The following is a 26,933-nucleotide window of genomic DNA, read 5'->3' on the forward strand; positions in this document are numbered from 1 at the left end:
CAGTCCAAACATTCTATCACTACTGATTGAATGCAGGAGCACAAAGGAGAATCCAGCTGTCTTCAGCCAGACAGTGAAGAGATTTGCAAACAATAAGAACACCACTCTTCTCACCATTTTGTTCTGGAAAACAGTTACTTTTCATTTTTAAAAGTATGTTAGAACACGTAATGGGCTTGTGACTATTTTCAAGTGAATTATAAATGATTTAAAAAATGTTCTAAGCCGAGTGCAGTGGCTCATCCCTGTAACCCCAGCACTTTGGGAGGCTGAGGCAGGAGAATCATTTGACAAAGCGAGACCCCCATCTCTACAAAAAAATTTTAAAAAAGGTTGCAGTGAGCTGTGACTGTGCCACTACACTCCAGCCTGGGTGACAGTGAGACCCTGTCTCTGAAAAACAAAAACAGAAACAAAAAGCTCTTTATAATTGTTAGGAGTCTAAAGAGGTCTGAGATTTAAAAAAAAAAAAAATCAGAACTGCTGGGGCAGGGTAACACCTAGACTGCTGAGCCAGACACTAGGGACCTGACACTACTTACTCTGTGCTGCCTTTGCAATCTTCCTTATCACCACTATCTCTTAAGTCCCCCTAGGTCCCAGCCTAACCATTTACTTATTAATTTCTGCATGTACTCTGGACTTCTCAGCCTGACTTTGTGCATCCCATTCATTCCTCTACCTGGAACACATGTCCCCACCCGCTTAATCCGCCTGTTCTGGTGGTTAGTGGGTCAGGGCTATCCCCTCTTAGCACCAGGGCCTGTGGATGGAGGAACTCATTCAAACCCAACTACACAGTTTGTTTAAGGATATGTTCTGCATATAGCCTTCAGGATCTGTTTATCTTCCTTAATTAGAATTCCTGGTGTGCAAAGGACCCAATTTTCCCTCTGTTTTATATTTTTACCATCTAAGGGCCAAGTGTGCTACCATAAACTTTATGGGATTTTTGTAAATATCAGCTGACAATTTCTGGTGATCTATGTGGGCTTTTATGATCCTGTGCAGACTAATCAGAGTATTTAGTGCCCGCTGTGAGCATAACACTTAGCAGCAGGGAGAGGGGGTTAAGGAGGTGATCCTTGCTTAAGGACCCACACGGTGGTTGGAGAGACAGGATTTATAGCCAAGAAGCAATCACACAAGACACAAGAATGTATGTCATCAAAGGGGAAGCCAGGTGCTGCAGGCCTTTAGGGAAGGGGAGGTGGGGGTGGGGGCACACGAGTGTCCATAGCAGCAGTAGCAATCAGAGAAGTCTTCTGGAGGAGGCAGAGACTTGACCGAGGCTTTTTCAATGGAGAGGGGTTAGTGAGAGGTCAGCAAGTCAACAAGGTAGGGATTCCTGGTCAGCGAATAAACAGGAGCCAAAGCAGAGAGTCAGAAATGAGCACAGCATGTTCACAGTCTAATGAGACTGCTGACCACAGTTTAAAGTGAATGGTGCGAGATGATAAGGTTGAACGCTAGTCAGAGGAGTTTAGGTTGAATGTGGAAGGAAGGAGGAAGAAAACATTTTTTGGTCAGGGAAGTGACATGGTGTGTTTTGAACAAGATGGATTATTTGTGGGAGGAAAAATGGAGAATGGGCATCTTGTGCATGACCTGGGGTGTGAGATGGTGAGGTTCTGGACTGGGCCATCAGCAAGGTTTTTTGAAATGCAGTGCACGCAGGTAATCATGTCTGGCATGCCAGCTCAGTGCGTTCAAGTGGGAGTGCTTTATAAATAAGGTCATGGAGATTAAGACCCCACAATAGTGTGTTAGCAACATAATTGGGTTGTAGCACATGTAGCTGATTTAGAGCTGAAATCTTTTGTTTTAGCCTTTCCTCATGTCTTGTTGGCTCAGCTACTAAGTAATTGTGTGTGGTTTTGGGCGAGCTACTTAACTCCTCAGTGTCTTGGTTTTGTTGTCTGTAAAATGAGTTTTGTTTTTTTTTTTTTTTAGAGTTTTGCTCCGTTGCCCAAGCTGGAGTGCAGTGGCACAATCTCTGCTCACTGCAACCTCCACCTCCCAGGTTGAAGTGATTCTTCTGCCTCAGCCACCCACGTAGCTGGGACTTAAGGCGCACGCCACCATCCCCAGCTAATTTTTGTAATTTTAGTAGAGATGGGGTTTCACCATGTTGGCCAGGCTGGTCTCAAATTCATGGACTCAAGCCCGCCTTGGCCTTCCAAAGTGCTGGGATTATAGGCATGAGCCACTGAGCCTGGCCAAAATGAGGGTTTTATAGTACCTCGTAGGCTTGTTACGAGAATTAAATGAGTTAGTACATATAAAGTGCCTACCCTAGAACCTGGCACACAGGAAGCCTTTAAAAGATCTTATTATTTATTTATTCAGTAGTTTGCATTATCATGGGAATATAAATATTTAAATTACCCAATGGGCCAACGCATCTAGAGCTGTGCTGAATCAAGGCCCTCAAAAAAAAAAAATGCTTGCTGGAGACATCGCCAAGATGAGACTCATTCAGAAACTGGGATGGAATGTCAAAAACTCCAATTCAAGGCTGAGCAGTGGCTCATGCCCGTAATCCCAGCACGCTGGGAGGCTGAGGCAGAACTGCTTGAAGCCAGGGCTTGCAGCTTACAGTGAACTATGATCACACCACTGCACTCCAATCTGGGCAACATAGTGAGACCCTGTTTCTAAAAATAATTATTTAAAAAAAAAACCCCAAACCCTCCTGCAATACCATAAACTTGTTAAGATCTAACGCACAAAACCTGGAGACCGAAACCACAATTTAATCATGTCACTTTTGAGCTAAAACAACTTCACTGGCTCTCACTGCCAAGAAATTGAATCTGGTCTTCTTAGCCAGCCAGCCTTCCTCCACAGATTTGGGTTGGCCTTTCCAGCCTCCTCCTCCTCTAGCCCAGGGGGTCTTTGCCTCAGCCACACTGTGCTCCTGCTCATTTTTAAACACACCCACCTTGCACTTCAGTCTCCCCTGTGCCTTTGCTCTTACCCCCAAAGCTCATTCCTCATACATCATTTATGCCCTGTAAAAGTAGTCACCTGTTTTTAATAGACTTTATTTTTTTTAAGAGCAGTTTTAGGTTTACAGAAAAATTTTGCAGCAAGGACAGAATTCCCATATATTCTCTCCCCCAACAGTTTCTCCTATTAACATCTTGCATTAGTGAGCTACACTATATACACAGTTATAACACTGGTACACCCCAGTGTTATAATTGATGAACCAATATTGTGGTACTACTATTAACAAAAGTCTATAGTTTGCATTAGGGTTTATGCTTTGTGGTGTACAGTCCAACGGGTTTTTGACAAACGCATAATGTCCTACGTCCATCATGGCAGTATCATAAAGAATAGCTTCACTGCCCTAGAATTCCCTGTATGCCACCTATTCATCCCTCTTTCTCCCGGTCAGTTTTTAAGAATCAGTTCAAATGCCCTCTCTTCTGTGAAAACATCTCAGTTCCCTCAGTTACAATTAATCTGTCTGATGCTTGTATAGCGCTTTTTCATACTTGTTATAGCTGCTATGTTTGCATGGTATGAAAGAAGTATACACGGCCGGGCGCGCGGTGGCTCACGGCTGTAATCCCAGCACTTTGGGAGGCCGAGGCAGGTGTATCACCTGAGGTCAGGAGTTTGAGACCAGCCTGGCCAACACGGTGAAACCCCGTCTCTACTAAAAATACAAAAATTACCTGAGGGTGGTGGCGCGCGCCTGTAGTCCCACCTATTCAGGAGGCTGAGGCAGGAGAATCTCTCTTGAACTCAACAGGCAGAGGTTACAGTGAGCTGAAACTGCATCACTGCATTCCAGCCTGGACAACAGAGTGAGCAAGACTCCGTCTCAAAAAAAAAAAAAGTATACAAACTTTTCTTCTGTCATTAGGTTGTCCTTGAGGAAGGAACTGTGCCATAGATTTGTCCTGACATCTAGACCAGACCCTTATTCTTAACCGGTGCCTTATGAATGCTGGCTGCACTGAACTGAACAATGAGCAAATATGGTTCGGCTCAGTCATCCACTAGATACAGTATTTTTCCCTCTAGACAGGAGCTGCTGTTTGCAAATCTCCCCCATTCCAAATCTGAGCCAGCAAAGGTATCATAAAACAAACTTGCTCAGGGAATTTTGTAGAAAAGGCCTCAAGAGGCAAGGCTTTAGACCAGGAGTTCTGAAAGTGACATGTGTACTTGTGAATTTCATACATGCTCCTTGGATGGGCTAGTTTCTTTGGAGGGAACCGTCTTCTATTCCCTTCAGATTTTGGATCAGAAGCAGCCATAGGAGAGGTGGCCCAGGCCAGCTTTATATTGTTACTAGACCGTAGGGCGATTTCTCGCCTCTCCAGTCTCCAAAAACAAAGCACAAAAAAGGACAAGAGCCTGGTTGTTTTCATCCTCACGGACCAGACACCCCCTCAGGAAGGCCTCTGGAGAGTCTTCTGTCTGGTCCCCAGTCTCTCTGCCCAGGTGCCCCCCAACAATTGAGGATGACTAGTGTGTTCTCTTTGGGTAAGGAGCACCTTCCCATAAACACTTATTTTTCTTAATTCACGCTGAGCTTTTACTTTATTTTCGCTTTAAAGTCACTGTTCTGAAACGTTCTAAAACGCCGTAGGAACATGCAGATAGGAACAAAAGCAAATAAATCGAATCCTGTGAAGTAACAAAGCAGACGCCCTTCTCCTAACAGGCAGCACAAAGCTAAATGAAAAATATCAGTCATCCACTAGATAAAGTATTTTCCCCTTTAGACAGGAGCTGCCGTTTGCAAATCTCCCCCACCCTAAATCCAAGCCAGCGAAGGTATCAAAAAATAAACTACTCCCTTCAGCTCCCAGACTGGAGGCAACAGTTTCAGCAGCACCGTCTATTTCCTTGAACAACACGAGCGGTTTGAAAGACCTTGGCTTTGACTTCCCTGTACCTGCCTCCAAACACACGTGGGGGCGGGGTGGGGTGGGGGGAGATATTGCCCCCCATCCCCGTTGCCTTCCGCGACGCCAGGCCAGGCGCAGGGCAGGGGAGAAGATGGGGGGCGCCCTGGATTCGCGGTTCCAGCTGCAGGCAGTTACCTGGGGTAGTGAGTGCTCTCTACAGACCCGGGCTACCCCAACCCCCCCGATTCCAGAAAGGGCCGGAGAAAAGCAGGGGGCGCCTGCCCCGCTCCGGAGCAGCCAGGGAGCCCGGCCGAGCCTTGACGAGGATGAGCTCGGAGACCGCAGCAGCTACCGCCCGCTAGCACCTGAGCTCCCAGGGGGCGGGGCCTCCTCCAGGTGTGCGCAGAGGAGGCCGGCGCGGAGTCGGGGCCGGCGCGGGAGCCCGAGCTGTCCCCCAGCCCAGAAATGCGCGGGGAGGAGCGGTTCATCCGCACCCCAGCGCCGCGGGAGACACTGGCGCCGCCTGCCTCCTCCGGGTCCCGGGGGGAGAGCGCACCGTGCGGCGCGGAGGGGGTTAACCGGGCAGCCCGCCGCTGGAGCGCGCTTAACCCTTTGGAGCCCGCAGGTCAGCCGGGCCAGGCTGGGGTGGCGGCACCCCGAGTCCCACGCGACGGCCACCCCGAGCGCGCAAGTGGTGCCGGGCAGAACCGCGCGCCGGGCTGCAGACCCGCCGGGGCGCGGCGCGGCGCGGGCCGTGGGCGGCTCGGGGCGGGCGGAGGGCGGGGGACGGCGGCGGGCGCGCAGCGTCGCCAGGGCGAAGCCGGCGTGCGGCGCGGCGCGGCGGGCGCGGAGCGAGCGGGCGGGCGAGCGCCTCCGTCCCCGGATGTGAGCTCCGGCTGCCCGCGGTCCCGAGCCAGCGGCGGCGCGGGCGGCGGCGGCGGGCACCGGGCACCGCGGCGGGCGGGCAGACGGGCGGGCATGGGGGGAGCGCCGAGCGGCCCCGGCGGCCGGGCCGGCATCACCGCGGCGTCTCTCCGCTAGAGGAGGGGACAAGCCAGTTCTCCTTTGCAGCAAAAAATTACATGTATATATTATTAAGATAATATATACATTGGATTTTATTTTTTTAAAAAGTTTATTTTGCTCCATTTTTGAAAAAGAGAGAGCTTGGGTGGCGAGCGGTTTTTTTTTTAAATCAATTATCCTTATTTTCTGTTATTTGTCCCCGTCCCTCCCCACCCCCCTGCTGAAGCGAGAATAAGGGCAGGGACCGCGGCTCCTACCTCTTGGTGATCCCCTTCCCCATTCCGCCCCCGCCTCAACGCCCAGCACAGTGCCCTGCACACAGTAGTCGCTCAATAAATGTTCGTGGATGATGATGATGATGATGATGAAAAAAATGCAGCATCAACGGCAGCAGCAAGCGGACCACGCGAACGGTGAGCAGCCAGAGCCCGGGCACCCGCTGCCAAATCCGATCCTGTCATGGTCCTCCAGCCCCCTCCCCCTTCCCCGCGGCGCTGGATGGGTTGAGGGGGTTGGAGAGGGTGCTGCCAGCTCGGTGTCGTCTACACAGAGAGGGGACATGCGTGACAGCCACTCCGCGCTCCCCTCCAGGCCCTGAATGTCAGAGTTAATTCTGCATTTGTGGGGTGGGGGCGGCCGTGGAGTGTGTGGAGCGCGGTGCAGCCGGAGGGGCGGCGAGTCGGGGTGATTCGGGTTCAGTGTCCTCGGGCTCAACTTTCCTTCAACGCCCCCGAGCGATGGCAGGAGGGCCGCAAGTCTTCAGCCGGAGCCCCCTTGCCAGCCTCTTCTCGCCTTCCACTCCTCCCCCGCCCCCTCGTTGACTAGGAAGAAGGTCCCTGGTGGCATCCGGAAAATTCTAGGATTGCCCGGTTTCGCCCTCCGCGCCGGTGGGTGAAGCACACCCATCCCCTCGCGGGGGAGGCCCGGCCTCGGTATCGGGGAAAGGGGTTCGGGTGGAGCGTGCGTTCCCGCTCCCGTCGCCGGCTGTGCACACGTCGGTAACCTAGCAATGCCCGGGGAGCCGCTGCCGCTGTGGGGCTCCCCTCCCCAGCTCTGGCCCGGGCACCACGTGCAGCTTCCACGCCGGCCGGGGCTGGGTCGAGGGAGGATGGAGCAGCTCCTGGCCAGCCCTCCCCTTTGGAGACCGCCAGTGCCCCCCAACCCCTGTCGGCTGGAAGCCTTTCCGGGTGAGCGCTCCCCTAGGGAGAAGCTTGACATGACTCGACTCGTCCCCGCTCCGATTGCCCGCCGCTCGCCCGCTTTGCCCTCTTCTCAGGCTTTCAGACCCGTGCTTGCTTTGACTCTTTACTTAGCAATAATTGGCTTTGCAAACGCCCATCTCTCTACCTTGCTGTCACCTCTCTCACTTCTGCTTCAGTGAGGAGACTGTGGCGGAAGGCGGCAGGTGCCTGGGAGATCTGCCTGGGAGATGGCCTGACCCAAAGCTGGCGGGGGCTTCGCATAGGGAGCCTCCTTGAGTTTCTGCCTTGTGTGCACCTGGATACCAACCTACACGGAGATAATTCCCTCTTAGGCCTGGAGGCCCCTGGCATAATCCAGTCAGTCTATCCTAGGTGTAGGGGTGCAGGCTGACTGCCTTGTCTGTCTCTCTGGATGCTGGCTTGGCTGATGCTGCTGCAATTTAAAATGCAAAAAAGCCCTAAAGATGTTTTCTGTTTTCGGAAGCCTGTGGAGGAAATGAGTCCCAAGCATCATGAATTTTCATTTGCAGGAAGTGTCAGTGCATAATCTAGATATTTGTTATGGGGTTTTTGGTATTGCCTGGGTGCCTATGGAAGATTTTTTTTCGGTACTGAAAAAAATGCATTTGTGGCTGTGGAAAGATGTTGGAGTAACACTCTGAAAATGATTAAGACTATTGAATTATTGGTACTGCCTTTTTTTTTCCCCTTGGTGATGGTGGTAGTTATGTTAGAGAAAAGCTGTTGTATGTATCTGTTACTCATTAGAGATAGATGGGTTTTACAAATCAGAGATGCGGAGTAAATGTGGGAATGACCTCAGTTTTGTCAGAAGAAATGCACTAAAAGACCCTTTGTGAAGACATGATGTGAAGGAGTACTAACCCCACTGGGTGTGATGCAGCGGTGATCCTGTGTGATTGACACTGAGACCAGAGCTCGTGGACTTTTCTTGACTCTCCAGCTGACTAAAGCCCAGCTTGTGAAAAATAGCACATGAGATTCAAAATGGAAACATAGGAGTGAATGATTCCCCTGTTATTGATGGGAGACAACCTTTGATTTTTTTCTCCTACCCACTGGATCCTCATTTAAAAAAAAAAATCTTTGTTTTTCTCCTTCTCCCCAGAGGCAAACTATGCAAGAGGCACCAGACTTCCTCTTTCTGGTGAAGGACCAACTTCTCAGCCGAATAGCTCCAAGCAAACTGTCCTGTCTTGGCAAGCTGCAATCGATGCTGCTAGACAGGCCAAGGCTGCCCAAACTATGAGCACCTCTGCACCCCCACCTGTAGGATCTCTCTCCCAAAGAAAACGTCAGCAATACGCCAAGAGCAAAAAACAGGGTAACTCGTCCAACAGCCGACCTGCCCGCGCCCTTTTCTGTTTATCACTCAATAACCCCATCCGAAGAGCCTGCATTAGTATAGTGGAATGGAAGTATCCTTTTTTTGGGGGAAGTCTTTCTCATTTTCTCTTTTACCATCTGTTTTTTAAAAGGATTTGCTTTCTGAAGTGACACAAAGCTGTAGCAGTCTGGAATGCGAGTAACAGAAGTTGTATATAAGGGGTTTCATTGTATATACCTTCCTGTCTCTTCGGGTTGCAGAGGGGTGGCTGTACGGGTATATTTAGCCCACTGTCTGGATGTGTGTATAGTAGTAGTAGTAGGGGGAGGGAGTGACAGCCTGAAACTTCACAGGGGCAGATAATTAAAATGTGAAACCAACCTTTGGTTATTGGACATTAGATGGTTAGTTTTAAATTCAGTGTTGTCTTTGGGCAATAGCATGCATTGAACCTATTGCAAACAAGGTATACAGATTAGAAAAAAAGACTGTATAAGACTCTGTTTGAAGGGAATACATTTTTGACCTTTAGTAGAATCTTCTCATTCTGATGTTTGAAATTTGCTTCTGCAACTACAATTAATGCTAAGGTTGCTTCTAGTCTGACATTTGGTGATTCTAATTATTCAGGTAGCTGCAGATATGAGCACATGCTTCCTAGGGAGAGATTACTTTTGATTTTTTTTCTCTGATCAGTGCTATAACTTCCTGGAATTTCCTTTTGACAAGTTCCAAAGAAGCATTTGGAACGTGAGCATGAGGGAGCCAGTGAAGGGAGAGGCTCGTGTGTGCCTCTTCCTCCTGGGCCCTTATGAGTTATAGAACAGCCTTTTCAGTGGAGGAATTTGCAGTTGCTGCCTTTATAAAAAATTCTGTCTATGTCCTTGGACTGGAGGTACATTTCTGGGTGTCTCCTTTGTATTTTTAAAATTGAACTCCAAATGCCCCAGAATGGCTGTCATGTCCCAGATCTTGGAAAACGATTGTGCTTCAGCCTGCTTAACCCCTTCCCTAAATCTGGAGGCCAACCTCCAGTTACTGCCACTCTTCAGAGAAGGTTGACTGAGGCCTTCTTTCTGAGCAAATGGCTTTTTAATTAGGCAGATGATTCATTGGTCTGGGTAAAGTAAAGCATTTCCTTTCCCCAGAAGTGTGTTTGGAACTGTCAGGGGCCTTAGAACAGTTCCTAACTATAGGAAGGGGTGTGAATGTAGGAATTCCCTCCACCAGGCCCAGAAGGATGGAGGGGCCACACCAAAAAGGGAGGATGTTGGCAGCCAGCTAGAAAGTGGAGCTGAAATCCCCTTATAATTTGAGGATCTAGCTCGGCAGCTATTTGCATGCCCTCTGTCTTTAGCTGGCTATTTTCTGTGCTAATGGACAGGAGTTAAAATGAGGTAACTGTCTAGAAAGATTTTGGAGAGAGCAGCCAAATGCTAGGGTAGGATTTGAGGGGTTCTCATGTGCTTTTTCATTTTGCAGCAGATGTCCCTTCTCTAGAGTGAGTTATGGTGTCTCTCACATAGCTGGGGTTGTGTGTGTGCATTTTCTTTTGAAGTTCTCTAGTCTGAGAACGAGGAGGGAGCTCGGTAAGCCAGCATGTGGCCCAGTGGCATTGCTAGATTCATGACAATGGCTGTACCTTGCCAGGAAGACCTCAGACTGGCTTGACACGACTCTGAGTAAGCAGAGACCTCTTTGTGGGGTCACTACTTTTGTGTGGAGTAGGTGGGAGGCCTGATGCTGTTTCTCTTTGTGCACGGTAATGTGTACATAGCAATTTTTGCATGCAGAGTGAATTCCTGGATCACGCTGCTGTCTCCCTTTTCCAGTTGCCAGACACATGTGTACAGGAATTAGGGGACGTGGCTGCCAATTCAGGGAGAAGCCTGTTTACAAATGGGACAGTTTGTAAAATAGATAGACCCTTAAGCAATATATGATTTTTTTTTCTCTTTTTTTAATGACAGTTTCCTTCTAATTCAGGGAGCAGGCTATAGAAATCCTTTCCACCCCGGGCAGCTCTGTCAAGGCCCCATCCGCAGTGGGAGAGCAAGGGTCAAGGGTCATTTGTTTTTACAGACAGGCATGACAGAGTGTCCTGCCCCCTGGAGGAGTGAGGGATGTTCTCCTTATCAGAAGGAATTGTTAGGATCAGACCCATCTATTTCTCTATTGCTCTGTTCTGCTTCACTTGTGAAAATCTTATGGCAGTGAGATGGTATCCACTTGTACCTGGAGACCAAAACTGGACCAACATAAAGAAAAAAAAATACAACTTATATTTAGTCTTCCTGAACAGTGTTAGTATTTCTCAGATGTGCTGGTTTATCATTTAGGTATTGGGAAATTGAAAAGGAAGAATACCTATTACTTAGGTATTGGGAAATTGAAAATGAAGAATGGAAGAAAGAGGGAGGGAAGAGACTATTGTGTTTCTATGGAGAACAACATTGGGGCCCTTGACTTTAGATTTCAGTGGGGACCTACAAAAAGGAAAAATGGAAAGGGAATTCTGAAGTCTTAAGGTGGGCTATCTGAAAGTTGGATCCCTGGGTGAAAAAGATTTTATAATATTAGATGAGTTGAGAGAACCAATGTGAATTAAAGCTGACTGGCTTAAAAAAAATAAACCCATCAAAATTAGTAAGGGAATAATGTTATTCATTGCCTTTTTTTCGTTGAGTTATGAAAGCTCTTCGAAGATGAAGGTTTTATGAAACTCAAGATCTCTCCAGAGGCCGGGCACAGTGGCTCACGCCTGTAATTCCAGCACTTTGGGAGGCTGAGGTGAGCAGATTGCGAGTCCAGAAGTGAGCAGATTGCTTGAGTCCAGGAGTTCAAGACCAGCCTGGGCAACATGGCAAAACCCCTGTCTCTACTAAAAAAAAAAAAAAAAAAAAAAAAAAAAATTAGCCGGCGTGGTGGCACATGACTGTAGTTCCAGCTACCTGGGAGACTGAGGTGGGAGGATGGCTGGCTTGAGCCTGGGAGGCGGAGGTTGCAGCAAGTTGAGATTGCGCCAGTGCACTCCAGCCTTGGTGACAGTGAGACCCCATCTCAAAAAAAAAAAAAAAAAATGATATCTCTAGAGAGGTAAAGAGTATTTGTTTCCTGTGGCATTTTTGGATTTCCCAGAAGTATGTCAGGATGAATGGAGAATAGTCTGTTCGTATGCTCCAGTTTTAAGTACCTTGAAGTGTTTAGTTAAACCATGGCCTTGCCTCTTGTGGGTGAGTGTATAGGCGAAGCACTGTGGTAAAATCAAGCCCAGGAATTGCAGATGAGGCTGGTGCTCACAAAACCTTGTATTTGGAAAGGCTGAAAACCCAAAGAAGAAAAACAATCATTTTGGCAGATGTCAAATTTTGTGTTGCCAGTTTTGACAATGTCTCTTAATAACACCAGAATGTTTAGGTAAGTATCTCTTGAAGGCTGATCTCAAAGTGATTCTTCCAGACAGACCACCAAGATTGAGAAATGTTAAAGCCTACTTTGAACGTGTCTGGTGCTGATTTCTTATGGCTTTTTAATTTAATTTGTTTACAAATTGAGCACAGTAACAGCATATTATAAACTGAGCTCCAGTCCGGCTCTAATCTGAAACAGTTATAGCCATCGATTCCTCTAGCAGAGAAAGCAGAGGCGGGAGCTGAAGCCTGGCTCGCTGCTGATCACATCTGAGGTATTGGAATATGCCATGAGAAAGTTATAGGTAGAATGAGAAGGTCCTGGTGGCTTGGCCTGGCCCAGTCCAGACAGGCGATTTAGGCTGACCCTGCCAAGAATAGCCCCTGAGAAAATGGCTCTAACACATGGAGGCAAGGATCTGCGGAAGACATTTATCCCATGATGATTTCTCTGTGTCTACCACAGCCGGGAACTTAGTAAGGCTCTTGTCACTTTTAAACCTGTAAGAAGCAGAAACCTAGTTCACACAGTGCCCTAATTGGATGTACTTTTAGGTTTTAATATGCAGTGTGCAGCCGAAGAATGAGTGTAACATGATCCTTGCAACAGAAGAAAAGGACACGGAGAGGTCATTTGGTAGGAGGCTCCACTGTGAGATGACCACCGATGATTACTTCTGCCGAAAACCTAGCAGTCACAGCAGTCAGCCGAAATAGGATTTGTGTATGTCATTTTCCTTTTAAAAGTGCTTTGAAAGTGGTGTGATCGGGAGTGTGATGAGGGACATGGTTTATGTTTCCATAACACATATATACCTTAACACATTTTTTCAGACCATTTGACATATTTATATTATTGGCTATTTTTGCCAATTGTGTGGCCTTAGCTATTTACATCCCATTCCCTGAAGATGATTCTAATTCAACAAATCATAACTTGGTAAGTGTCCTTAGAGTTCCTGCTGGTCCTGGTATATGGTTATCATTTGCTTCTATACTTAAACTGGCAGCTGGCCTTCTGGGTGGTTGAAGTTTATAGCTATGCATGTCGTGTTTCTTGGAGCTTTGCAACAGTGGTTTTTTGTTTGTTTGTTTGTTTTAACCTGTATTCTCAAATTTATACTGACTGAAAGTATTTAAAGTCATGAATCTTTTATAAATAGATATGGAATTTTTATGGAAGAGATTTGGAGCAGATTTTAAAATAACTGTTATCTCCACATAAGTTTTTGCTACCATTCTTTTCCTGATAATATTAGCTTTTTTCTTTTCTTTTTTTTTTTTTGTTTTTAATCTAGTGTTCTTGGGAGTGGTGGGTACTTTGGTCAGTTGTTCTGGTAAGTAGAGAATTATCGTAGACTTTGTACATGAACTATTTTTAGAGAAGTAGAATATAACAAAACTAATAAATCTACATAGAGCATAATTTGGAGAATAATACATGATATTATTGAATACATGATATAATATTAAAGTTTCTACTCCACGTCCTATGAAATGCTCCAAGAGAAAATGATTGTATGGTTAAATAAATCAGGATGCTTCCATATACTTTGCTGCCTTCTTAAAGATTTATAGTGCACATTAGCTTAGTAAAAGCTTTGGGAAGTTCTGCAGTTAAAAAACAGGTTTCCTTTTATTTAACTCAGCTAGTCCCTAAAAGTAATCAGTCATGAATTCTTTAAACATTTTTTTTTTTTTTGGCAAAAGACTTTAACATCATGGAACCAGTGGTCCATGGAACTTCCTTTGGGAAAGGTTGATATAGTTTTTTTTTTAAAAAAAAAGCACTAAAGAGTACTAGACTGGGACTAGGATCTTGTCCCACTCACCTGTCAACTAGCTGTATTTGGGGTCATTTCTCATACCTTTCTGCATTGCTGTGCAGCCACCTGGCAATTAGGAGGATTGGGTAAGAAGATTGCTAGTATCGTTTTTACCTCTGACATTCTGCAATCTTTCTTTGATGATTCAGAAGCCATTTCAGGATTTTTCTGGTGCTGCAGCATCCTTCTTGCAAGGATTGGTTCTTTGCAATCAGAAGCCATGCAGAATGGGAGATGAAGGGGAGCCCATTCTGGATAACAGGAAACTCTATTGTTTTTCTTCTCTTCTCTTAGCTGGTTCCGTTTGTTTTTGGCTTCTCATGTTGAAGCTCTATTTTAGCAGGGCTGGATGTTCCTAACTGAGCGAGCGTTGTAAAGGCAAACACACTAGGCTCTCCCTTGTGTGGGAGAGCTCTGCTGGCTTCTGAAGATAGTGAAATTATGCTCTTGTGAATAAGCCTTAACGATTTATGTACAGGATTTCATGTTACATTTAAAATGTTGTGGCACATTTCAGATGTAATGTGATGTCTATTTGTATGTGGGCTTTAGTAGTTTGATATCTAGAGAATTTTCTAAAAATTTTGGGAATTGATGCTGAAAATACAACTATAAATGGGAGTCGGATAACCACATAAACACTGGTAGTATATATTTGGACAATGCCAGAGATCATTTGTGTAACTTTGGACATTTTATGTAGCTTTTGATTTCTTTGTAGACATGTGACATTAGATGATTGTTTTAAAGAAAAAGCAGAAGTGGTGGAAAGCCTCCCATCAATGGAGATAGATCATCGTAGTCTAGGCCACAGATGGTGTTAGCCTTGTTACCAAATTTAACGACGTGGATGGTGACCCAGATTGTTACTTTTCGTAGCTCAAGAGAACATGATTAAACAAACTTAGAAAATAAATACCTTTCAGAAAGGCAGATTAATTCAGATCAGTGGAATAATTAATGTAGCTGCATGTGTAAGCCAATTAATATTCTGAATTTTTCCCAGGGAAATTCAGGGCACTGATATAGGCACTGTCAGACCATTTGGATTTCTCAGCTAAGAAGTCAGGAAATAAAATACAGGAAATGGATTAATCTTTCCCTTTTGCACCCCTTCTCCAGTGAATCTTTTCTTGACTATTCTTAAGCTTTGAACTTTTTTTTTTTTTTGTGGGGGGGGATTTGGCAGTGTGTTAATTTGGTGGGCCTTTCTAAAAGCCAACGTATATTCCTTTGACCTCTTCATATAGTATTCTGAAACTCATGGCATTCAACTTTGTGTCTTGCTTTCACTTGGGTGGTCACATGGCCAGATGAATTTTTACTCTGCTTGACTCTTTAAATACTTCCTTTCCCACTGTGGGAAGGGAAGATCTTTGTGGATTTCCTTCTGACTCTAAGCAAGGTCCCATGCCATGTTGGTCCTCCCATGAGGGAGCTGGTTTTTTGTTTTTTTTTTTTTAAATACATTTGACCCAATTTGTACTAGAGTGATTGCTCTATTTTTGGGATTGGTTTAGAGGCAGCTGAACGAAACTTATTTTTCATCTGTAGTAAATACCTTTCATTTAATGTGAATGGTAAAATCAAAGGGCAGACGCTGAAATGAGTTGCAAGGCTGCATGTATCTGGAAGCTGCTGGTTTTCTTTGCCTGATAGCTCCATGGGAAAGATGCAGTTGAGCGATAGAGTGAGATCCAGGGCCAGCTTTATGTATGATGTTTCTGCCTGTTACCAGTTACCTAGTAAAATTATGACTTTTTTTGGGGAAGAAACGTGGCCATCCCCATTGATCCAATGTGTCTTTGTTCTAGATAGTATGTAACTCAGCTAGTTTTGGGATTTGGAGACTACCTTGGGGGGCAGAAGTTTTCCCAGGGATAGTTTTTGTTCTTTATTTTTTTAAAAATATAAACACTCTCAAGTTTCTCTGCAGCTTTCGTTTATGGACTTGCAGGGCTAGTGGAGGCTGGAGTCATGGAAACGGTGCAACTCAGTTCCCACAGTAATAGCCCTCCTAGTTCAGTCAATAGCAGTATTTCCTCAGTTCCACTTACTGAAAGCAAATACCATTGATTTTATTATTATTTTTTTTTTAGCACAGAGGAGGGGAATGCCTCTGTATCAAGTGTCAGAGTGGGGATGATTACAATATCATACTTCACTGTGATGAAAAATGCTTTATTTCATATCATTCAGTTTCTTATAAGCAAACCGACATGGTTGAACAGTTTTGAGTCTGTGTAATCTGTTCCTGGTACTCTTCCTCCCGGTGCTACCTCTTACTTCTCTGGAGTGTGGAACTGCTTGAAATTAAAAATGTCCAGAATGGAGATCTTCATCTGCCAAGTCAGACCTTCTTTGATCCCTACTGATGGCTGCACTCACCTCTAAGCCATCTCTGAACCAGCACTAAGCGCCCGGAGGCAAAGGCCCATGGCCCATGTCTCTCTATCCCCTTATCTAGCAAAGTGCCTGATGTACCAGGTGCTTTTTATTTGTTTATTTGTTTTTTTTTTTTTTTTTTTTTGAGGCTCTGTTGCCCAGGCTGGAGTGCTGTGGTGCAATTTCGGCTCACTGCAAGCTCCGCCTCTGGGGTTCATACCTCTCTCCTGCCTCAGCCTCCTGAGTAGCTGGGACTACAGACGAGCGCCAACATGCCTGGCTAATATTTTTGTATTTTTAGTAGAGATGGGGTTTCACCGTGTTAGCCAGGATGGTCTCAATCTCCTGACCTTGTGATCTGCCCGCCTCGGCCTCCCAAAGTGCTGGAATTACAGGCTTGAGCCACCGCGCCTGGCCTATATGCACATCTTTATCCTCTGGAGCGTCTTCAAAATACAGTTAATAGTGAAGCATTCTGAATCCCCAGCCATGCCTGATGCAGTGGTAGGGGTATACAGTAGATGTTCAGTAAATAAGTATTGCTGATGTGCACCAAGCGAATGACTTTCCCAGGAGAAGCGCCACCATCATTCCTTCCTCTGAGCCATGTTTCAGATTTTCTTGGGTGGCAGGTCCCTTTGTGGATTTCTTGCAGGTCCTTAGCTGGGAATGAGTGGGAAGGTGTACGTGTTATTCCTGAAAAGCTTAGGGTCTGCGGCCCTTCTTGTGCACCTCTGCTTAAAAGAGCCCACAGTGTTGGCTTTCATAGCAGAGCAGTCTAGGAAATTTTGTACTCTGGTTCCAGGGCTCAGAGTAGCAAGAGTGCTGGGACCTGTCTGAGAAGCAGTGCTGGGCTGTGGATGCTTGCCTGTGGCACCAGATGCCTTACAGTGGCCAGGAATGCTGCGGGACAGTCTACTTTGATTGCTTTCTTTCCTCCATGGCTGAGATCTGAGTGTAGTGTTAACTGGGCTTAAAAATCAAGTCCGTTGTATCTGCATGGTCACGTAGTTCGGCATCTCATGGCTTTTGCACCTAGAGGTGTGAACCATAATACCTGAAACACAATTTCATAACCTGGCTCCTTGGGCTTAGCCTATATGGTGGAGGTTAGGTCTGTATATCATCAAGACTGTGTCTTTGCATGGTTGTCATTCTGTTGGAATTGAACTTTCTTATTTCTGTAGGCCTAGGTTCTGTCTATTCTTCTCAGACAGCTCATATGCTGCTTCTTCCCTTCAGCCTTCTCTGATACTTGTCCACTCCCCGCCTGCCTACATCTGAGTACTTGCTTTCCCTCTGGACACCCCTGTGCCCAGTCCAACTCTCCTGTACAGACACCAGCCCCTTTCCCCTGGTTTATAACTGTTGTGGGAAGTGGCGTGGAGTGTGATGGTCTGCTCATGGGCTGTGGGGTCTGACAGCCTGACTCTTTGGCTGATTAGCTGAGTGACTTTGGATGGAACTAGAATATGAGTTCCTAGAGGCTGAGACTGCAGTCTGATTTGGGTGTATAGCCTTGTGAACTTAATCCTGTGCCTGGCACACAGGAAGCACATCAGGAAATGCACGTCAAATGAGTGAATAAATAAATGAATGACCATACAAGGACTCCATGGTATATTCTTGTAGATCATTAGTTAATTATCAACAATTGGCTAATGATTAATGTTTGCCTGAGAGGCTGACTTTTTGTCCATTAGTAATGACATCCCAGGAAACACCTGGCAGAGTTCGTCTTTAATTTCAGGAGTATATCTTTCTTTCTTGGCAAATTTAACTATTAAAGAGAGAAGAAAGACAAGTACTTGATACTTTTTGAATCTGTAAGTTATAAACCTGTCTTCTGTATTCAATGTTGTATATTAGCCACATTGCAGATGATTCTATTTGGATGGATGTGTGACTGTCACCTTTCACATAAAAATTGATTGAGCCAGTCATAGTGGTATGTGCCTGTAGTCCCAGCTATGTGGGAGGCTGAGGCAGGAGTCTTGGTTGAGCCCAGGAGTTTGAGACTGTAGGGGACTATGAGTGAGCCACTGCACTCTAGCCTGGGTGACAGAGCAAGACTCTATCTCAAAAAAAAAAAAAAAAAAAAACAAAAAAATGTGGTAGAAGGGGAGAGAGCCTCAAAATGACCAGAGTAGATGGACTCGTGTAGTAAAACTTTACCCAAAGTTGGTTTCCTAATGATATAATGTGAAACAGTCTATGTGCTATACAAATAATTATATCTCTTTTGTTAAGCCTTACGTCATTTTGACAAAGGCTTTACTTGATTGAGTATTGACGGCTTTTCCAAAATAAAATCCAGCTCTTAATTGAGATTTGTGGCTGGGCATAGTAGCTCATGCTTGTAATCCCAGCACTTTGGGACACTTAGCAGGGAGGATTGCTGGAGGCCAGGAGTTCAAAACCAGAATGGGCAACATAGTGAGATTCCATGTCTCCCCCCGCCAAAAAAAAAAAAAAAATTAGCTGGGTGTGGTGGCGTGCACCTGTGGTCCCAGCTACTCAGGAGGCTGAGGTGGGGGGATTGCTTGTGCCTGGGAGGTCAAGACTATAGTGAGCTGTGATTATGTTACTGTACTCTAGCCTGGGTGACAGAATGAGACCCTGTCTCAAAAATAAAGGAAAAAAAGAAGAATTTAGGTTTTTTACTATTAAAATTCCATAAGAGGAATTCCAGTGGGGGTCCTTGCTCATTTGGTTTGTTTTTTTACAATGTGAATATCATTATTTTATAGTCATACCTTATACAACGAACCTCCCCATCTAGACCCTTCACTAGTGAGACTACCTTAGGGTGAGGATATTTGGGTATATTAGAGTATTAGCCAGAACTCTTTGGGTTACAGATTGTGGGAATACAACTCACTCAAATTGGCTTAGCTGAAAAAAAAGTGCGTATGTATGTACAATTTATAAACTCAGTTAACCAAAGAGTCCACTGGGTAGAAATGGCATCAGACACAGCTGGAAAGGGGGGGCTGAAAAGATGTCACCAGCATTCTATCCCTGCCCTGCACCCTCGGGTTTCTGAGCCAGAGTCTGACTGACCTCTAGTAGGTCAGCCTCACGTTGCCTATGTGTACATCTTCCTCAGCTCATTTTGAGGAGGGCATGTGGGGACGTGCATTTCTTTCTTTTTTTCAAATTTTATTTTATTTTAAGTTCCGGGATACATGTGCAGGATGTGCAGGTTTGTTACATAGGTAAATGCATGCCACGGTGGTTTGCCGCACCTATCAACCCATCACCTAGGTATTAAGCCCTGCATGCATTAGCTATTTATCCTGATGCTCTTCCTCCCACATTTCTTTTTTTTTGTTTTTAGCATTTATTTTAGGTTTGGGGGTACATGTGAAGGTTTGTTACATAGGTAAACACAAGTCGCACAGGTTTGTTGTACATATTATTTCATCACCCAGGTATTAAGCCTAGTACCCAATAGTTATCTTTTCTGTTCCTCTCTCTTCCCCCACCACCCCGCAACTCAAGTAGACCCAGTGTCTGTTGTTTCCCTCTGTGTTCGTAAGTTCTTATCATTTAGCTCCCGCTTATAAGTGAGAGCAAGGCATTTCTTTCTTAATCTCAGCTTAAGTTCGGCATTTTAACAATGATTGCATCAGAAACAGAGACCTCTGTAGCAGATTGGTGGGTAGTTTTCTTTTTTTTTAACCTTCCTCATTGGTGTTTGTTTACTTTTTAACTGTCTGACAAATGTGAAAAGTACCCAATACAGGGTGACAGCATGCCCAGCAGTAGAGACACTTGGGTGTTAAATACCAGTGGCGGTGGGGACACGCCCCAACAGACCCCAACAGCTTCTCACCAAAGAAAGTTCCTAAAGGAATGGAAGAGGTTCTAGAATTCTGGAGGTGGGGTGTACAGGGAGGGACCATGTGCACTGTTACTGTTGAGTGGACAGATGTGCAGAAGGGAGGGGTGTCGGCGGGTGTCCCTGCCCCAGCAAGGGTAGAGGGCTGGTTAGCAGTTGATCCAGGAGTAGATGTTAGCATCCCCACCATGCAGCTACAGGATGTGGTCCTCAAGTCCTGTCTGCTCATGTGATGGAAATAAGGAGAGTGGTGGAGGCGGGGGCCTTCCTTTTTTAATTCAGGTGAGATTGGTATTCTCCCAGCTGGGGTTCCTGTGGGCTGTAAGGGTGTTTGGCTGGGCAGGCAAAGCCGGAAATGGGTGGTATGGAGGAAGAAACAGAATAGCTGAAGATGGGATGAAGGAGGAACTGCCTGAACTGATCAGTGAGCTCCACAGCCCCCTCTGTGTGTGTGTGTGTGTGTTTGAGAGAGTAAGAGAGAGCTCATGCTCATGAGTGTGTGAGTTAGGGGAAAGGTGGAGGTGGGCATTGTTGACACAGGCCTTGCAGGACGAAGCCTTCCTTTGGTGGCTTTAATTAAGCAGGGCCCCAGACACTGCCTGGGCTGGAGAAAATGACTTTCTTCTCCAGAACTTCAAAGCAATTATTTTTGCTAATTTTTTCCTTCCTCCCTGTTAGGTGAGTGGTAGTTTTAGAAATCACAGGACATCTGTTGAAATTATTGAATGAGTGAACGCGAGGTGAGGCTGGAGGGAATCAGGGGCTGACCCGAGGGAGGGCGGGGAGGCAGGTGCAGACTGCTCAGTGAGTGTGGTGGGATCCCGGTCTTGGCTGGCCCTGTAGGAGCCCAGCCAGGGAAGGCAGGAAGAGGTGGCCTAGGTTAGCTTTGCCTGGGGATTCAAAGGGGCCAGGCGAGAGGCTCATGCTCTTTCTCCTTCCCTTTCCCTGCCATGCTCATCTTCTGAGGGCTGACGCTGAATCCTTTTCCTGTGTCCGTCAGGGATTCCTGCATAACATAGACTCACAGATACTTTTTTACAGCTATAAGAGGACGTATTTATAAGAAAGGAAATTGAGGCAGCTTTATTCAACAAATATTGATTGAGACCTCCTGTGCAGAGCACAGCAGCCCTGTGTTTCTGCCTTCCAGCCCGCTGCTGTGGCTCCCCATGCCTTGTTGTGAAGGAAAACCTACAGTGTGGGGTTGGAAAACAGCCAGATTTGTTTTCATATTTTGCATTCTTACTATAAATCATCACTCAAAATTGACACAAGTAATACATGAATACATTGTTTCAAATAATTAAAACAATACAGATAAAGTAACAAACCCCTTTACCTACCCAACTCCTTCTAATTACAATGATCAGTTCCGTGTGTCCCTTCCGAATTGTTTTTCACAGCGTGTGTGTACGTATGTATATATCACCTGTGCATTTTGAAACATAAATACAGTTTGAGTATTTTAAATTTCGTGCAAGTGGGAACATGCATTCTATGGCTTCCTTTTTCCCACTCAATAGACCTTACAGACCTTTCCATATCTGTATGCAGAAATCTAACAACTTCATAGTTGGTGTAAAATATTCCATGTATGAATGTACCACAGTTTATTTGTTTTCTTTGTGATGAACATTTAGGGTAATTCCAAAAGTTTTACTGTTTCAAATCATGCTGCATTGAATATCCTTTTGTATGCTTCTTTGTGCATGCAAGAAAACGTTTGTCTGGGATGACAACTCAGAAGTAAACTCTCCGGGTTGGAGGGTATGTGCGTTTTTAATATCCATGTTTATTGCCACATCATTCTTCACTAAGCCTGTACTCTTTTACCTCACACCACATCTCACTGCCTCAGCAGTCATTTCACTCTGCAGAGTGACCTCATGTGTTCTGTATCTTAGGCTGTACAAAAGGAAGTCTTGGGGGTTGGGTCTGGCCTCTCTCTGGGATGTTAGTAGCATCTGGAGCATCTGGTTAGAGTAGAAAGTCCACAAACCTGAGCCCTAGATTTTAGGAATCTATTTTGCACCAGTGACCAGATAAAAGGCACCAAAACTTATTCTTGTCTCCCTTGCTTTCAGTCCCAGGTGCTTAGATACTATTGTTTCTTTTGAGTGAAATATTCATTCCAGGTAGCTAATAGGTAAATAAGTTCCTAATACAAAAACTGAGTCTTATTTTGGAACGTTTGCTTGCTACGGACTGGTTTCATGACAAATACTGCCTTTATGTCCCTGTTAGTTGGGGAAGAAGAATATCCAATCCGGTATGTCTCTGATGTCCCGTGTTCTTATTATCTGTTTTATTTTCACACACAGTAAAATCTCGCTATTATTATGGTGTTTAGGGTTTGTGCCCTTCTTATTTCCGAAATCTCTGAGGTGGTTTAGAAAATAGAATTTGATGAAAGTGGGACAATGGGGAATGGAAGCAAAGTCTACTTGCCAGGGTGCTCGAGGGGAACTGATTGCTGACACCTGGACATGGAATTGGCCTCAAGGTTTCCCAGCAGCGGCGGCGAAAAAGAGTACATCCTGACACACAGGGTTTTTATCCTTTCGACAAAGGGAAGCAGCCACGCTCATTCAGAGCAGCACTTTCTAGGAAGCACATCCAAGGAGGAATCTCCAGCGCAGGTCCTTGTGTAAGGTACATTGTTGGAGCACAATGAGCCATGTCTTCGCCGTGCTTTTGTCGGGGTCAGAAATGCCGCGCAAGCAGATGGTCCCTGCATTCATGTTTTTCAGGGGTCAGGGTACGACATTAAACTGTGGTATAATGAAAATGGAAGTACTTCTCATTTCTATAAAAACGCTGCTTTTTGATTATATAAATTAGTATAGGATGAAAGCTGGGAAGATGAAAAAAGAGTAGTTTAACATAGCCATTATTTAATCATTCATAAAGTACTTTTTAAAGCATTTATTACGGGTAAAATATAGTCCCATTAGACACATTCCCTCTTTGTGCTAACTTGGTTTAACTCAAAATACAAAGGGATACAGGAATTTATGCAAAGAACATCCTCCCCTGCCCCCGTAAAACCATATTTGAATATATGTGGTTTTATTATTTTACTCTAATGTAATTTAAATAAATGACCAATATTTTTAAAAATAAGAAATCCTTGAATATTCTTCAGTAAATAGATAACAACAGGGTATAATGAAACACTGTTTATATTTAAATGACTGCTTTGAAACGGTGTGAAAGCAGCTTAAATGGGTAAAATGCTGCCCTTTTATGTCAGTAATTAGCCCCTTGGTCTTTTTTCACGATAATGCAAAATTGTACTTCTCTGTAGGCTTACACAAATTCTGAATTATTGAAATATAAATTAATGGTGAATCTTTCTAAAGCTCTTTTCAGAATTTTTATCTGGTGGGAGTGAAATTAAAACATCCAAAATTCTAAATTAGAATGTGGCAAAGTAGAGACAGCCAGCTAGAATTTGGTAAAAGACAGGTGTTTAATAAATCTTTTCCTAGACATCCATGGGTTGGTACTAGTGTGGTGGGGTAGAGAAAGCTTTGGCGTGTTTTAGGTTGGCCAAATGAATCAGTTAATTGATGTTATTAAAGCCAGGTGGGACAATAGTAGGTTAGACCGCCTGGTTTTGATTGACCCTGAATGAGGAATCACAGACATGATGAGGTTGGGATTGGAGAGGACATCAGAAACCTCCATATGGGTCTGTTCCTTTTTCAGACCCGCCAGCATGACCTGCCCTGGGTTACACAGTGAGAGACGAACCGCATGGGGATGTAGGGCAGAGCATCTGTCTCCCAATCTGTTTTCTTCCTACCCACCTCAGTTACAACTATGACTCCAGGTTGAAGTTGGGCATCTCCTATCTGACCAAGGGACAGGGTCTAAGAACAGCAGGGGCAGTGATGACAAAAGATTGTCTCTTTAAAGCAAGCTGGGCATTGAGTCAACTTTTCATTATCTCTTCAATTATTTTCTTTGTGTAGTATTAGGTCGGTGCAAACCTAATGACGGTTTTTGCCATAATACATCTTCCGAAAGATAGTTTCCATCACCTCTCCCTCCCCTGCTTAATTTCATAAAATACTTTATTGCTTTCTTCATACATACCAACCTGTAGAAATCATTTGACCATAGATTGCCACATTTATTTTATGGAAATAGCCAGGGCACAGGCCAGCGGATGTAGTAGGGCAGGAGAGAATCAGCAGAGCTGGCTAACAAATGCAGTGGGTCTTTCCTCAGTTTCTTGTTTTTGTGTGGTTAGCTTGCCCTGTCTTTCTGACTATAACTGGAGGCACAGTGGTTATTGCCTTTGTTACTAGCTGACATTGGCTGACATTGCTGAGCTAGGTGGGCTTTCTATATAGGGTCCTGTGCTGAATAACAGTGTTTCAGTTCATCAGCCAAGATCAAAGTCGGTGGTCCCATAAGATTATAATGGAGCTAAAAAATTCTTGTTGCCTAGTGACATCGTAGTCATTGTGCCTTTGTAACATTGTAGCACAATTACTTTATTTTAAAAATAAATTTGGTAGCCAGGCGTGCCTCACACCTGTAATCCTAGCACTTTGGGAGGACGAGGTGGGCAGATTGCTTGAGTTCAGGAGTTCGAGACCAGCTGGTGAAACCTCGTCTCTACCAAAAATACAAAAAAATTAGCTGGGCGTGGTGGCACACGCCTGTGATTGCAGCTACTCAGGAGGCTGAGGTGGGAGAATCACTTGAGCCTGGGTGATGGAGATTGCAGTAAGCCGAGATTGTGCCACTTTATTCCATCCTAGGTGACTGAGACCCCGTCTGAAAAAATAAAAATAAGTAAATTCAATGTAGTCTGAGTGTACGGTATTTATAAAGTGTATGGTAGTGTAGGCTTTCACATTCACTCATCACTACTGACTCACTCAGAGCAACTTCCAGTCCTGCAAGCTCCATTCATGGTGAGTGCCCTCTACAGGTGTACTGTATTTTGGCTTTTATACAGTATTTTTACTGTACCTTTTGTATATTTAGATACAACTGGTGTTATAATTGCCTATAGTATTCAGCACAGTCACATGCTGTACAGGTTTGTGGCCTAGCAGCAACAGGCGATCCCATATAACCTAGGTATGTAGTAGGTGGTACCATCTAGGTCTGTGTAAGTACACTCCGTGTTCACACAGTGATGAAATTGCCTAACAATGCACTTTTCAGGACCCTGTTGTTTATACCTGTTGTTAAGCTATGCATGACTGTAATCTCCTCTAATTCCCATTTAATCTTTACCATAAACCCACAAGGGAGATACTGTTAAAAAAATCCTCATTTTACAGGTGAGGAAACAAGGCTAGAAATGGTTATATTGCTTGCACGAGGCCGTGCTCCTGGTAATTGGCAGGGCCAGGATTCACACCCGGACTTCTGACTCAAGCGCCCACGCTCAAGTACTAGGCCATGAAAGGGAGTCCAGGCTCACAGGCTGATGATGCCTAAACACCAAGCGGAGGAGGGTATGACCAAAGGGCAGAGCCAGAGAGGAGACCATGGGGGAGCTGACGGCAGAACCTTTTGGGGGCGTGGGGGGTGGGGGTCTCTCTGGCTAGGCTTCACATTCATGCTTTTGATTAGTGATTGGAACCAAGGTCTGGGGACTGGCATAGAAACTTTCCAGGTTAGGATTCAGTCCCAGCTTTGCCTTTCACTGGCTCTGTGACTGGGTCAAGCCCTTTCTGCATCTGCTCTTTCTCTGTGGAAGAGGAAATAAAATGGCTAAAGGTGTTATCACAGGCCCTGGCTCCTAGAAAGCACTGTGCTGTGAGCCAGAGGTTTAAGATGGGCTTCAGCCTCACAGCAGTCCTGTGAGGTAGGTGTCGTTAGCCTTAGCTGTAGATGAAGAAACTGAGGCTTGGGAAGACCAGCCGGCTTGCTCTGGGGCACCTGGTGAAGAGCTGGCTGGATGGAGGATTGGATAGTGATGGGTCCCTCCTGCCATACTAGAAGAGCTTCCTGGACAGTTTGCTTGGATTGGAGTTTAATTTCTAAAGCCATTTTTTTAGGTGTTCTTACCAGACTGAGCTAGTGCATCTGTCCCACCGAATAGCCTAAGACTTTAGTGGTCATAGAGGGTTTTGCAGCGGATCTGGTGAAGAAATGAACTGAAAATGAGCCTGCTGGCCATAGGAGGGCCTAGACCTGGACCATACCCCATCATCATTTAGACAATAAAGGGTGGTTAATTCCCTTGGAACACCAAGGACAGAGAGGGGGCTAGTTTAATGGTCAGGATCTGATTCTGCTGCAGCTAGAAGACTGAAGCCTGCCTCTACATGGTGGTCCGGGGTAAAAAGTTCAAAGCTCAGCACACTACCCACAAGGCTTGGTGGTTTCTTTACGTGTGACTTTCTCAGCCGACTTGAAATCCACCAGGTGTCTCTTGTTCTCTGCTTGGCCCAGGTGGGAGCCCCTGATTGTCTCTTGACTTAAATGTTGCTCAGAAGAGGAAATAAAGCAGGAGCTAAGGAGCACAACGATGTCAGGGGGATTCTGGCCCGATGGTCGTGCAGTTCCTAGATTTGGAGTCGTGAAAACAATCACTAACACCTGCGTGGTCAGGGACGGCCTATACGGCACTTCATCATAGGGTCTGATTTTTATCCTCACAGCAGCCTTGTGAACATTGCTGATATTTGACACACCAGGCAGCCAAGGTGTGGGGCAGTTGAATGACTTGCCCAAGAGCAAACAGCAAGTAAGCAGCAGAATTAGGATGTGGACCTCTCCTGCCCTTTCTGCCACACTGTGTTCCTCGTGTCATGGAGTCCTCCCTGCAGGTCACTCGGGTAAGAGACCAAGGCTCACAGATGGGAGCTGGCTTGCCAGAGCTAGGGCTCCTCAGGACCCAGGTGATGGGCTTGCTTCTCTGACATGTGGTCCCTGACCTCTGTTTTCTCACCTGTAAGATGGGGATCATAGCATTATTAATAGTCATGTTGTTGAGAGGATTAAAGGCGATTTTGCAAGGGAACCCTCTGTGAACAACAGATGC

The 26,933-nt window shown here is 45.4% G+C and overlaps 1 protein-coding gene across 21 annotated transcripts in view, besides 4 other annotated features; it reads left to right on the forward strand.

The window, feature by feature from the left end:
• Window positions 5,140-5,639: an enhancer, noted in NCBI's record as "H3K4me1 hESC enhancer chr3:53528087-53528586 (GRCh37/hg19 assembly coordinates)". NCBI's record gives its function as "activates a minimal SCP1, AML or CMV promoter by ChIP-STARR-seq in naive H9 embryonic stem cells {active_cell/tissue: H9 hESC(naive)}" and the evidence as "EXISTENCE:reporter gene assay evidence [ECO:0000049][PMID:30033119]".
• The window catches only part of CACNA1D (calcium voltage-gated channel subunit alpha1 D), a 319,123-nt gene continuing 297,880 nt past the window's right edge, over window positions 5,691-26,933 (forward strand). For 15 of the 21 annotated variants that reach the window (XM_011534094.3, XM_017007144.2, XM_017007141.2 and 12 more), the window contains exons 1-3: window positions 6,895-7,087; window positions 8,232-8,541; window positions 12,695-12,800. In XM_011534094.3, coding sequence (XP_011532396.1) covers window positions 6,910-7,087; window positions 8,232-8,541; window positions 12,695-12,800 — 594 coding nt within the window. In that variant the 5' untranslated portion in view covers window positions 6,895-6,909. Of the gene's footprint in view, window positions 6,314-6,894; window positions 7,088-8,231; window positions 8,542-11,508; window positions 12,585-12,694; window positions 12,801-26,933 lie in introns of those variants that run through there. The other 6 variants (NM_001128840.3, NM_001128839.3, NM_000720.4 and 3 more) reach the window with 2 other exon arrangements.
• Window positions 5,970-6,755: an enhancer, noted in NCBI's record as "H3K4me1 hESC enhancer chr3:53528917-53529702 (GRCh37/hg19 assembly coordinates)". NCBI's record gives its function as "activates a minimal SCP1, AML or CMV promoter by ChIP-STARR-seq in primed H9 embryonic stem cells {active_cell/tissue: H9 hESC(primed)}" and the evidence as "EXISTENCE:reporter gene assay evidence [ECO:0000049][PMID:30033119]".
• Window positions 6,756-7,540: an enhancer, noted in NCBI's record as "H3K4me1 hESC enhancer chr3:53529703-53530487 (GRCh37/hg19 assembly coordinates)". NCBI's record gives its function as "activates a minimal SCP1, AML or CMV promoter by ChIP-STARR-seq in naive H9 embryonic stem cells {active_cell/tissue: H9 hESC(naive)}" and the evidence as "EXISTENCE:reporter gene assay evidence [ECO:0000049][PMID:30033119]".
• Window positions 22,923-23,424: an enhancer, noted in NCBI's record as "NANOG hESC enhancer chr3:53545870-53546371 (GRCh37/hg19 assembly coordinates)". NCBI's record gives its function as "activates a minimal SCP1, AML or CMV promoter by ChIP-STARR-seq in primed H9 embryonic stem cells {active_cell/tissue: H9 hESC(primed)}" and the evidence as "EXISTENCE:reporter gene assay evidence [ECO:0000049][PMID:30033119]".

Source organism: Homo sapiens, chromosome 3 (assembly GCF_000001405.40).
Source record: "Homo sapiens chromosome 3, GRCh38.p14 Primary Assembly".
In the NCBI taxonomy this organism is placed as follows: Eukaryota; Metazoa; Chordata; class Mammalia; order Primates; family Hominidae; genus Homo; species Homo sapiens.